This window comes from Homo sapiens, chromosome 12 (assembly GCF_000001405.40).
Source record: "Homo sapiens chromosome 12, GRCh38.p14 Primary Assembly".
Lineage (NCBI taxonomy): Eukaryota > Metazoa > Chordata > Mammalia > Primates > Hominidae > Homo > Homo sapiens.
Window position 1 is genome coordinate 105,053,545 of NC_000012.12, and position 12,853 is coordinate 105,066,397.

At 40.6% G+C, this 12,853-nt stretch overlaps 1 protein-coding gene across 7 annotated transcripts in view, besides 1 other annotated feature; it reads right to left on the bottom strand.

Moving 5' to 3' along the window:
• The window catches only part of ALDH1L2 (aldehyde dehydrogenase 1 family member L2), a 64,669-nt gene that overhangs the window by 33,755 nt on the left and 18,061 nt on the right, over window positions 1–12,853 (bottom strand). For all 7 annotated transcript variants that reach the window (NR_027752.2, NM_001034173.4, XM_047428406.1 and 4 more), the window contains 5 exons: window positions 11,723–11,812; window positions 9,344–9,478; window positions 8,083–8,208; window positions 7,437–7,528; window positions 4,529–4,676 (listed from right to left, as the gene is read on the bottom strand). Coding sequence is in view for 6 of the 7 variants with exons in the window: in NM_001034173.4 (NP_001029345.2) it covers window positions 4,529–4,676; window positions 7,437–7,528; window positions 8,083–8,208; window positions 9,344–9,478; window positions 11,723–11,812 (591 nt within the window). In the remaining variant the exon portion in view is untranslated. The remainder of the gene's footprint in view (window positions 1–4,528; window positions 4,677–7,436; window positions 7,529–8,082; window positions 8,209–9,343; window positions 9,479–11,722; window positions 11,813–12,853) is intronic.
• Window positions 6,953–8,152: an enhancer, noted in NCBI's record as "CDK7 strongly-dependent group 2 enhancer chr12:105454275-105455474 (GRCh37/hg19 assembly coordinates)". NCBI's record gives its function as "activates an origin of replication core promoter dependent on BRD2, BRD4, P300/CBP, MED14 and CDK7 cofactors, with strong dependence on CDK7, by STARR-seq in HCT116 cells {active_cell/tissue: HCT116}" and the evidence as "EXISTENCE:reporter gene assay evidence [ECO:0000049][PMID:35650434]".

Genomic DNA, 12,853 nt, shown 5'->3' on the forward strand with positions numbered 1-12,853 from the left:
AGGTATTAAAAAGGAAATGTAATTATTTAAAAAATTATTTCACAGAGAGGAATTGTCAGTGCTTTAAAAAGAAACAAAAAATAGCAAGAAGGTCTCTTGCCTTTTCCCACACTGAGTGCTCATGATCTATGAGCTATTTCCATTGTGTTTATGTGGGTTATAATGAAGGAAATTTCATGGGAATTGATGTGTTCAGTGTCTGCAAACAGTCCACTTTTCTGAAATTATCATTCTTGGAATATGCTGAATGTATAACACCTAATTTGATTTTCCTAACAATTCTCTGAGGTAGATATCATTATTATATATTATTATTATATAATATTATTACCCTATAAATTGGGTGATATGAGTCAAGTAACAGAAGACGTATTTCATATTATGTGCATACTAGAATGTTTTGCAGGTAATAATTACCCAATCTATAGGGTAATAATAATATTACATAATAACATCCACCACAGAGAGTTGTTAGGAGAATCAAATTATATACTCTATAAATAGGGTAAAAATAATGGAGGAAATAATAATAATGGAGGTAATAATAATGGAGGGTAATAATAGGAGCAAACTGTGGCTTAGGGAAGTTAAGTAACTCGCCCAAGGTCACACAGCTAGTAAGCCATGCTACTTGGATTCAAACTTAGGTTGGTCTGACTCCAAAATTCATGTTCTTAACCAGATAATGCTAAACTGCTTTTCAGATTTGCCTAATTCTTATTAAAAACAAATGGGTGAGAAGTACTTCTGGGACAGGAAAGTAAGGACCTCTGAAAATCCACTCCTTCATAAAAGCAATGAGAACACTAGAAAATATTGTTAAAAAATCACTTCTCTCAGAACTCTGGAAATTAGCCAAAGGCTTGCAATAATCCATTTCAAGAAGAATAGCTGAATCACAGTAAGAAAAGTGAGCTTTATGGTGTATTAACTGCCTTATTCCCATCTTTCTCAAAAGCTCTGCAATAGCCTTGAAAAGCCAACTTCATTGCAAGTATGGTAGCTGTGAAAACCAGCAGCCTAGTAGCCTCTGGTGGGGATGAAATGGGTCTGGAGCTCTTCACAAGCCTCATCCCAAAGAACTGTTACTATTTGGCCTGCCTGGCAGCTCCCTGGAAAGCTCTACTCTCAGAGATTTTCTGGTTTTAGAGGCAGGGTCTCACTATGTTATCCAGGCTGGAGTGTAGTGGCTATTCACAGGTCTGATCAAGTGCATCACAGCCTCAAACTCCTGGACTCAAAGTGATCCTCCTGCCTCAGCCTCCTGAGTAGCTGGGACTACAGGCACATGCTACCATGCCTGGCTTGGGCTTGTCTTTACTAGATCTGACTCAGAGCTTGTTATGCACAAACAGCCCTATTCCTGGGACATTTGTCAAAAATAATCAGTGGCAATTATTTAATATTGCAGCTGCCCACAGCCACTAAAAAATGGCTGACCAAAAAACAAGAGGAATAACTGGGAATGAGATATCCATAAGAGGCATTGAAAAGCTCTGACATATTCCTGGGAATCCAGAAGACCAATATACAAGCAGGGCTTGTGCATGTGCCCAGAAAAGACCTCAGAAGGCCCTTATCTCTTAACTCTGGATGACTTTGAGGCTCTGTGCAGGCAGGAAGTGTGAAGGTAAGGCAGAATTGTAAACTGCCTGCTGGAGCACTGAAGGTATATCCCAGCACACACACAGAGCCCCCTCACAAATGCTGGGAGACTTATTGGCTCAAGGTGTCTAAGAAAATCTATGCCCAATCATTAGATGACCATTAAAGTAACTGAACAGAGACTTCAGTAGTGGCAAACAATAAAAAATAAAGACTTTACAGAATTGTCAAGGAAGTCATTGAACAACAACAACAAAAAGCAGCAGCAGCAACAGCAACAAATGTTGTGAAGGGAGATGGGGAGAAGGTCTGCTTTCTGGAGTTACCACATTCTATTATTTTAAATGACCACCTTTCAACAAAAGATTACAAGACGTGCAGAGAAACAGGAAAGTATGGCCTATAAACAGGTGAAAAAAAAGCAGCTAATAGAAACCATCCCTAGAGAAGCCTAGACATTGGATTTGCTAAAGAAAGATTTTCAATAAGCTTTTGTAAATATGTTCAATGAACTAAAGGAAACCATGTCTAAAGAATTAAAGGAAAGAGAATAATGTCTTGCCAAACAGAGAATATCAATGAAGAGATAAAAATTATTTTAAAAAGAACCAAATAAAAATGCTTAAGTTGAAAAGTGCAATAACTGAAATTAAAAAATCACTGGAGGGACCCAATAGCAAATTCAAGAAGGTGAAAAAAGCCTGAACAACAGGAAGGAATAAGAATAAAGAAAAATGAACAGAGCCTCAGAGACTTATGGGATACCATCAACTATACCAACATATGCATAAAAGGAATCCCAGAAGGAGAGGAGAATGAGAAGGGAAAGGAAAAATATTTGAAGAAAGAATAGCTGAAAATTTCCTAAATTTGATGAAAAACATTAATTTGCACATTTCAAGAATGCACAATCCAAGAAGCTCAACAAATTCTAATGGGAAAATTCAAAGGCTCCACACCTAGACACATCATAACAAATTATCAAAAGACAAAGAGAAAATCTCAAAAGCAGCAAGAGAGAAGGAACTCATCATACAAAAGAGTCCTTAATAAAATTACCAGTTGACTTATCAGAAACCATGAAGGCCAGAAGGCAATACGATGAAATACTTAAAATGATAAAAGAAAAATACCGTCCAAAAATTCTATACCCAACAAAAATATCCTTCAGAAATGAAGGAGAAATTAAAACATTCCCAAGTGAACAAAAACAGAAAATTGATTGCTAGCATACCTGGCCTACAAAAAGTACTGAGAAGAATCCTTCAAGTTGAAATGAAAGAACACCAGACAATTAACTTGAAAACACATGAAGAAATAAAGAGTACTGGTAAAGGTAACTACACAGGTAAATATAAACATTGGTATAAATATATTTTTTAACTCTATCTCATTAAAAATACAACTTCATAAAGCAATAATTATAAAACTGTTGGTGGGCTCATGATGTATAAAGACATAATTCATATGACAATAATGGCACAAATTAGGGGAGTATGCAACAACTATGTTACAGCAAAGCTTTCCTATACTATTAAGTTGGTGTTCATCTGAACTAGATCATTTTAAGCAAAAATGTTAATTATAATCCTCAAGGCAACCACTAAGAAAATAGCTTAAAAATACAGTTAAATTAAAAATAAGGGATTAAAAAGGCATACTAGACATATTTAACATAAAAGAAAGCAGTGAGGGAGAAATTGAGGAATAAAAAGGTGTCAGACAAGACACAAGAAAGCACAAGTGGCAAAAGAACATAGATAAATTAGACTTCATCAAAATTAAAACCTGTTGTGTGTCAAAGGACACTCAAAGTTTTCAGCAAATCTACAGAATGAGAGAAAATATTTGCAAATCTTACATCTGATAAGGATCTAGTATCGAAAATATACGAAGGACGCTTAAGACTCAGCAATAAAAAGACAAGCCAGTTTTAAAATGAGCTAAGGATTTGAAAGAACAGACATTTCTCCAAAGAAGAAATACAAATGCCCAATAAGTATATGAGAAGATGCTCAACATCAGTAGTCATTAGGGAATACAAATGAAAACCACAATGAGATCCCACTTTACACCCACTAGGACAACTAAAAGAGAAAAGACAGATGAGAGCAAATATTGGCGAGGATATGGAGAAGTTGAAACCCTCATACATTGGTGGGATTACATAATGGTGTAGCCACTTCGGAAAACAGTTTGGCAGTTACTCAAAAAAGTTAAACATAGAGTTACCATATGACTCATCAATTCCACTCTTAGGTACATACCCAAGAGACTTGAAAACATATGTTCATGCAAAAACTTATATATGAATTTTCATAGCATTATTCATAATAGCCAAAAGGTAGAAACAACCCAAATGTACATCAACTGATGAATGGGTAAACAAACTGTGGTATACTTATACAATAGAATATTACTTGGCCAAAAAAAGGGATGAAATGATGATACAACATGGATGAACGTTGGACACATTATGCTAAGAGAAAGAAGCCAGAAACAAAAAGCCACATGTTGTATGATTCTATTTATATGAAATCTCTAAAATAGGCAAATCCATAGACAGAAAAGAGGTTAGCATTTTCTAGGAACTATCATGCTATCCAATTTTGGAACATTTTTTGTATGAGGTAGTCCTGGAAGAGTAAAGAATGACTGCCAATGGGTACAGGGCTTCTTTTTGGGATGATGAAAATGTTCCAAAATTGGATGGCATAATAATTGCACAACCCTGTGAATATATTAAAAACTACCCAAAATGCACATTTTAAAGGGGAATTTTATGCCATCTGAATTAGATCTCAGTAAAGCTGTTGTTTTTTAAAGGTCATAAATATAAAAACAAATGGGCAACAGGCACAGCAGTCTTTTATAGTGTATGGATCTCACTGATTTAGGGTTGCAACATCAAGGAAAAGCTTACATAATCTACAACCAGCTCCACCTCTTGATCTTCTCCTCTCAGTTTCCTCACGACCTTTTGGATAAAGCCTTCAAACTTGGTGGCCATATAGACATCTTCATTCTGCAACTGAAGCCCACCACATTTCTGTCTGATCTCTTCAACCAGCCTTAAAGTAAAAACCAGCTTCGCGTTACTTAGATTTTTAAAAGGGGTTAGGAAGATTGTGTTATTTGCACTTGTCAAGTTGTTTTGAGGTAAGACTTACATCACATGCCTATTTATATCCTATGAGATCTTCTGTGATACTCATCAGAGAAATTGATAAGACTAGGGGCAAGAAATTAAAAATATATCTTGAAGGACAGTGGCAGTTTTTTAAAACTTTATCCATGACTAAAAATAAAAGCAATCAAGGCAAAAATATTTTAATTACTTATAAGCAAGGTAGCAAGGATCATATAAAGTCAACTCCTTTCCTTTCATATATACTCAGGGAATAAGAAACAAAGACACTTTCCTAACTGTAAAGATTATGAGAGATGAATGTCATATTGTAGACTATTTTCTCTAAATTACAAGTATAAGATGGACATTTGTTTGTATTACGTAGTTAACATAGGTACTAGCTAGAACCATATGCAGTAGGTCAGTATAACTTTTGAAGTCCTTTCCAATCCTTTGATTTCCACTGTTAGTTTGTCAAATTACAGCTGTTATCTGACATTTCTTGAATAGCAGTGGTGTACGAGGTACAGTGTAGAAAGTCCACCATGGTTGTGGTTCAATCATTTATTCTCTAAAAGAGATGATACCTTTGTAATCAAGATAATAATATCAGATGATTATGGTAAGCCAGACACTCAAACAGAAAATGAGTAATTCCTGCAGGAGTATCTTGCTAGCAAAAAAAAAAGTATTAATAATACAGTACTGGCCGGGTGCGGTGGCTCACACCTGTAATCCCAACACTTTGGGAGGCCGAGGCGGGTGGATCACGAGGTCAGGAGATCGAGACCACCCTGGCCAACATGGTGAAACCCCGTCTCTCCTAAAAATACAAAAATTAGCTGGGCGTGGTGGCATTTGCTTATAATCCCAGCTACTTGGGAAGCTGAGGCAGGAGAATCGCTTGAACCTGGGAGACGGAGGTTGCAGTGAGCCAAGATTGCGCCACTGCACTCCAGCCTGGCGACAGAGCGAGACTCTGTCTCAAAATAATAATAATAATAATAATAATAATAATAATAATAATAATAATAATAATACAGTACTGTGTGTGATGTACCAGGTGTGATGACTCATGCCTGTAATCCCAACTAGTAGGGAGGATGAGATGAAAGGATGGCTATCCCAGGAGTGCAAGGCTGCTAGTGCAAGTGAGCTGTGATCACACCACTGCACTCCAGCCTAGGCGACAGAGTGAGGCCCTATCTGTAATAATAATCATCATAATGTAGTATTGAAATATTTAGTTAAGCCAATTAGAAGTTTCTGGGAACTCATGAATCACAGCTGAGAAATCTATAATTTGAGGAGCCGAAACTCTTGACTTTTGAAAACACTATGTGCTCTTGAAATGATTGTTTTTGATTTCTGGAATAAAACCTCCATGAATAAAGGGGACGTTGTCTAGTTTACACTGTATCCCCAGTGCTAAAACTGTTCCTGACATGTAGTAAGTGTTCAGTCAGTGTTGTTAAGTAAATGAGTGAGTAGATAGAATATTCATCAGGAACGTTGCTTTGTCAATATGAAGGATTTTATCAAGAGGAGGAACATTTTTGCCTTGTTTAATTAGTGTATGGCCACAATGTGGCCTAGGATCAAATCCTCTTAGCTTCTATTCTCTGTACCCACCATCAAGGGACTGCACAGTCCCTGGTGAGCTCCAGCTGTCTTGTTATCCCAGTTACTCGAAGAAAAACACCTCTGAAAGATGCTGCACCAGTAGGATCCTGGTCCAGTTTCCTTGCGATAGAGGCTTTCTGGGACTCCAGCCCTTTCAACTTGCTCTAAACCTCTGTGGAGAAATTCTGATATTGGGTGATTACACTTGTCCTTGCAAGTAGCCTGATAACCCTCATTCTAGATCTGTCTTACTAGGTAATTTATGGGGGGGGCGAGGGTAGGAGAAAAAAGATTTGGGGGAAAGCATAATTAATATCAGGTATCAGATATTATTCTGGTAATATTATTAATATCAGGTGTCAGATATTATTCAGATAATATTCTGGATCAGGCTGCGTAGGAAATTCACTGTTAGCATTCTCACCCAGAGCTTCTCAATTCTGATGTCATATTGGAGGAAAATTAGCTAAGAAACTGGAAGGACAAATTTTTAAAAGATGCAAACAATTCTAAGGGTTGCTTTTTTAGGTATACGGAAGATATGAAAACAACTTCTGGTTAGCAACAAAGAGAACTAAACGGATATATCTGCTTGACCATGGAAACAATAGCAAAAAAAGATGAAGAATAAAGATGTGTTGGCCGAGCGTGGTGGCTCACACCTATAATCCCAGCACTTTGGGAGGCCGAGGCAAGCGGATCAGCTGAGGCCAGGAGTTCGAGACCAGCCTAACCAACATGGAGAAACCCCATCTCTACTAAAAATACAAAATTAGCTGGGCGTGGTGGCGCATGCCTGTAATCCCAGCTACTCGGGAGGCCGAGGCAGGAGAATCACTTGAACCTGGGAGGCGGAGGTTGCGGTGAGCCGAGATCGCACCATTGCACTCCAGCCTGGGCAACAAGAGTGAAACTCCATCTCAGGAAAAAAAAAAAAAAAAAAAAAGATGAGTCATAGATAGGTATGATAAGGTAATCACATCCAGAACAAAGGATGTGTGTGGATTTCACTGTCAAAGCCAAAGTCAAAATCTCTAGTGAGGGAATCCCTAGTGAGTCAATAAGGGCGTGGTTTTACCTGGCAACATCCATTGAGCTTGCTCCAGATTTAAAGAAGTCTGTTGAGTCTTCAATAATGGGGACATTGCTTAAAATTCCAGCCCAGATGACCTACACAAAAAGGAAACTCTTATGAGGGAAGTGCCACGTAGAACAATGTGGCAGAGACTGGGCTAGCTCTTCACCAAACCAATTCCCTCTTCATCTTGTACACTCAGCTGTACATACAGCTGGATCACATTTCTCAGCGCCTCTCCAAGTTAGATGCAACCAATGAACAGGAGTGGAAGTGACCTGCACCACCCCAGTCCTAGCCCATGTAAACCTCCTCCACGCCATTCTACATGCTCCTTTGCCCTTCTGGCTGTCTGGAATAGAGACGCCCCCCAGGGAGACCTTGAAAATAACAGAAACTGGGTTCCTGAATGACTTCACCCCTAACCCCCGTGCCAACCTGGAACTGCCTTGGATGACTTATGTGAAAAATCAGTTTGTATATACTGTGTTTAAGCATATGAATTTGGAGGTTGATTTCCTCTTGCAGCTAATACAAAAAAAGAGGAAATAAAGTTCTGATCCCACTACTTTGAGGACTGATGGTACCAGTTACGAACATGCTTCAGTTTTCCAAGGTAACAGTAAGATTTAAGTCATCATGTGTTCACCTTGATGGTCTCTGCCACTTTCACCTCTTCAGCTGTCAGTTCTACCACTGACGTCTCACCCGTTGAAAAGTACTGAGAGGCAGGGATCATTTTTCCATCTTCAAACTGCAGATTTCTCACCGTCAGCTACAAAATAGCAACAAAACAAGCATAAAAATTGAGGATTGAGACAATACAAAAGTGAGGCTGGTGGGAGGAGTCCTATAGATTATATGCATATAAGGGCAAGTTTATTTGGAAAAATACAGATTAAAAGCATTCACCATTATGTGTAAAAGGGCTGAAATGGCACTTGAATAATGGCAGCAGAAAGGAAAAAGTGAGGTCCAGGGATAGGTACATCTCAAAATGGAAAATAAGTCCTGGAAAATTTGACACTTGGACGTAGGTATTTGAATTAGAATCTATTATGAAAATAACAGACACCACCAGTGCTGCTGCAACTCTGCAGCTGCTGCCTCTGAGCACTTGCCCTGTACCATGCTCAAGAATGCATGCATAAGTGCTTGCTTCAGCAGCACATATACTAAAAAAAAGAATGCATGCATGTGCTGAAGGATCTTACCTAATTTCATAAAAGCCAGTGGAGGCGGATGCCATTATTATTCCCATTTTACTGATGCAGAAAGGGAGGCTCAATGAGGTTCAGTAATTTGCTCAGTGCCACACAGACAGTAAGTAAAAGAGCTGGGAGTAGAACCTGGAACTAGCGGCCTACAGTCTTAACGATTTATCCTGCAGCAACTGGAAAATATCTGTAAGCTACAAATTCCCTTTGCACGCTTCATTGGGAAGCTTCGCAAGGGCACACTGAGGCCCAGGGCCAACCCTCCTGAGCATAGGCAGTTTAGGTGGTGCCTGTCTGGTGGATCAGTGGCAAGGGGCATCTGAGGAGGGCCACATCTATTTCACTTGATCCTCCCAGAATCTGGCATTGGGAAGGCAGACAGACAAGATTCTCCTCTCTGTTATAAAGATGGCAAAACAGACTCAAAGGGAAGAATCATCCTGCCCAAGACCAGCGAGTGGGAAGCAGGGATTCACATCCTTATCTCCCCACTGAATTCCAGCCTCTTTCCACTTTACACAAGGCAGCCTATGCAGATCTGTGGGGCCCATCTTGAGACACCTCATCTCCATCAGGGCACTCAGAGCCAGCTCCTCCCCAGCCAGCAATGGAGTGAAAGCTATTCCCTTAATAGCTTGGGTTATAGAAGAAAATCAAAAGGTTATTTCATAGGCAGCCATATTTAACACTCACTGCTTTTCCATCGTTACCAAAAAGAACAAGTCCATTTTTGGTAACGAGACCAGGCTTCTTGGCACCTTTAATTTCCAGTGGTTCTCCAGGAGGCACAGAGCTATTCAGTAATGTCGAGCCATAGAAAGTGACCATCTAGTAAAGAGATCAAACACAGATTGTAAAATCAGGAGAAAAGCTGTTCATAGCGGTATGTATAAGCATCATTCTCTGCAAAAACGCTGAAGTTCATATTATCATCTGTAATAAAATTGAGACACCACAATGGGAGAAACTGTCTCAAACATCCATAGAAATGACACAAGGTGGCCGGGCACAGTGGCTCACGCCTGTAATCCCAGCACTTTGGGAGGCAGAGGCAGGCAGATCACGAGGTCAGGAGATCGAGACCATCTTGGCTAACACGGTGAAACCCCGTCTCTACTAAAAATACAAAAAATTAGCTGGGCATAGTGGCGGGCACCTGTAGTCCCAGCTACTCGGGAGGCTGAGGCAGGAGAATGGCGTGAACCCGGGAGGCGGAGCTTGCAGTGAGCCGAGATTGTGCCATTGCACTCCAGCCTGGGCGACAGAGCCAGACTCTGTCTCAAAGAAAAAAAAAAAGAAAGAAAGAAAGAAATGACACAAGGCAAGAAATAGTCTGTGAATATGTCACTGGAGAGTCCAAAATGCCCCACATCCAGGTGACATGAGTATGCATTTATCACATATTTGCATTGATACAAAGGTGAATGAGATAAAAAGCTCTCAGCCTTTATAGCCTGAAGGTAGGGTTTGGGTGGGTGGGGAGGTGTTGGGGGTGGGCGTCAATGATGGGCAATGCACAGTGGTCACCAGACTATTACAGTGCAGGGTGGTAAGTGATGAGAAGCACAGGGTGCTTTGTGAGTCAGTTCATGGAAAAAGGATTGGATCCAGAGAGTAACCAAGAGACACTGACGCTGACTGCATTATTATTGCACTTCTAGGATGATCAGCTATCATTTATGGAGCACTATTATGATTATGCTATAATGGTTTGTTGAATACTTACTCTAGGCCCAGGGCTAAGTACTTAAATGAGTTAACATGTATTAATTCTTTTTTTTTTTTTTTTGAGACAGAGTCTTGCTCTGTCACCCAGGCTGGTGCAATCTCGCTGCAACCTCTGCCTCCCGGGTTCAAATGATTCTCCTGCCTTAGCCTCCCAAGTAGCTGGGATTACAGGCACATGCCACCACACCGAGCTTTTTTTTTTTTTTTTTTTTTTTTTTTTTTTTTTTTTTTTGTATTTTTAGTAGAGACAGGGTTTTGCCATGTTGGCCAGGCTGATCTCGAACTCCTGACCTGGGTAATCCTCCCACCTCGGCCTCCCAAAGTGCTGGGATTACAGGTGTGAGCCACCATGGCTGGCCAACTCATTTAATCTTCACAATTACCCATAACCTAAGGGAGGCAGTATTATTAGTCCCATTTTACATTGAGGAAACCAAGGCACCCAGTGGTTAAGAAACCTGCCCGAGGTTACACAGTAAATTTTCATAGAAGCATTCTGGCTTCAGATCCTGCACTCTTAACCATTACACTAAACTCCCTCCCTTGGTCACCCATCGAGCCCATGGATTTTTATTGGCACTTAGTATGTACCCAGACTCCTGCTTAACTGCTGAGATTATCAAGACAATCACATGAAGCCCTTGCCCCTAAGGAGTTCACAGTCTAGTGTTGGGGGGAATAAAGAGACCCTCACAATATATGATGTGCGATGCCAGAGGTAGGCAGAGTGTTGCTGGAACCCAGAGATGGGCCATCAGACCCTGCCAGTCTGGGCATGTGAGATCAGGAAACCTCCCCGAAGAGGTGAAACCTGAGAGCCTGGGCTGAGTCAATTACCCATGGATAGAAGACCCTTCAGGCCCTGCCCGCCTCTCCCGCCTCAGCTCTCCCCATGCCTGTCCTCACAGTTCAGACCCTGGCTTCACTGAACTCCTTTTGCAAGTCCTTGACCAGGTGCTGGAGTCTCTTATCTCTGGGGCTTCACCTACTTGTCTTGCTCTCAACCTGGTTAACTCTTCTCGAGCAAAGCAGTGAGCTTTTCTAGGAAGCCTTTCCTAACATGCCTGAGTCTCAGCCTCCATGATAGCGTTTATCTTACTGCACTGAGAATGTTTATTCACTTCTCTGCACTCCCCATAAAACTGCAGGCTCCTTAGATCAGGCGCTGGATTTAGTGTCTGCTGCACAATAAATGCTTAATACATGCTGAGTAAAGGGGAGAGTGAATCACAGACCTGCCTCATGACCAAGGAAGAACCATGGGAAGCCCAGATTTATCTGTAATATCTCTTACAAAGGTAATAATCGGGGAGGGGGGTGGGGGGAGTGGTCCCTAAAACATACCTGTCCATTTATCTCTGTCCAAGCTCCAGGGACTTTATCATGACCTCGAATCCAGTTATGTAAAACTTCGGCAGACTGGTCCCAAGAAATCTAGGAAGGCACAAAATACAGGCTGAGCCTCCTATGGCTGTGAACCTCAAAGGCAATAAAAACGCTTCTCGTCATCAGAGGCAGAAACACTTGTTATTGGGAAATAAAGGAATTTTTGCTTCTTAGTTTTATTTGGAGTAAGTATTTTGTCAGGTGGCTGATTTAGTAAACAAGAGACTTTATTAAAGGAAAATAAAAAGCAGAGGGTTATTTAAAGGGACAGTATGCTTTGTAAAGATGAAGTAGAGCGGGCTGTTGAGGGGAGTAGGCCAGTAGCTGTTGGAGAGTTTTATGTTGGGTTTTTATTAGGTTGAACTTTTTTTTGAAGTTCCCACCTCTGTTAAGTCTCTGCCTCTTTTTTTTTTTGTCTAGTTTGTTTGTGTCTGTCTTAGCTCTCTGCTTTGTCCGCACCTAGATTTTGTCTCAGGTTTATGGGACCCTCCATATTATTAGTTGGTGTGTATGTGTGGATTGGTGTTGGATATGAATATTACCTGATGCCTGTGTTGTTTACTATTGTCACTGCAGGGAGGTTGTATAGTGGCCAAATCTATACCTACTGCATCTGTGTGTTTTTTTGGAATTTCCTTCTCTGCCCTAAGCTGAACTTATGGCTCCAGGTTTTTGTTTTTTGTTTTTTGAGACAGGGGTCTCACTGTGTTGGCCAGGCTGGTCTCGAATGCCTGGTCTCAAGTGATCCTCCTCCCTCAGCCTCCCAAAGTGCTGGGATTACAGGCATGAGCCACTGTGCCCAGCGCACCTAGCATGCCAGATTTTTTAAGGAATATCCCCTTTGCCCTTTTCATTAGCATGTAGCTAGTGATATTTTGACATTTTAACTGCAGAGCGAAGGATTGTTGGGCAGACTGAAGAGGCGTTTCTGGGCATTTTTTATTTGCTTGTTTGTTTGTTTGTTTGCATAGTATCTCCTCTCCTTTCTATGCACATTTGACTAAGTGCCCACCCACTCCAGCATTAGAGATACTATTAATATGCAAATTTTGAGTGGTCTTCCAGACACGAGTCTTCCTAGACTTTATT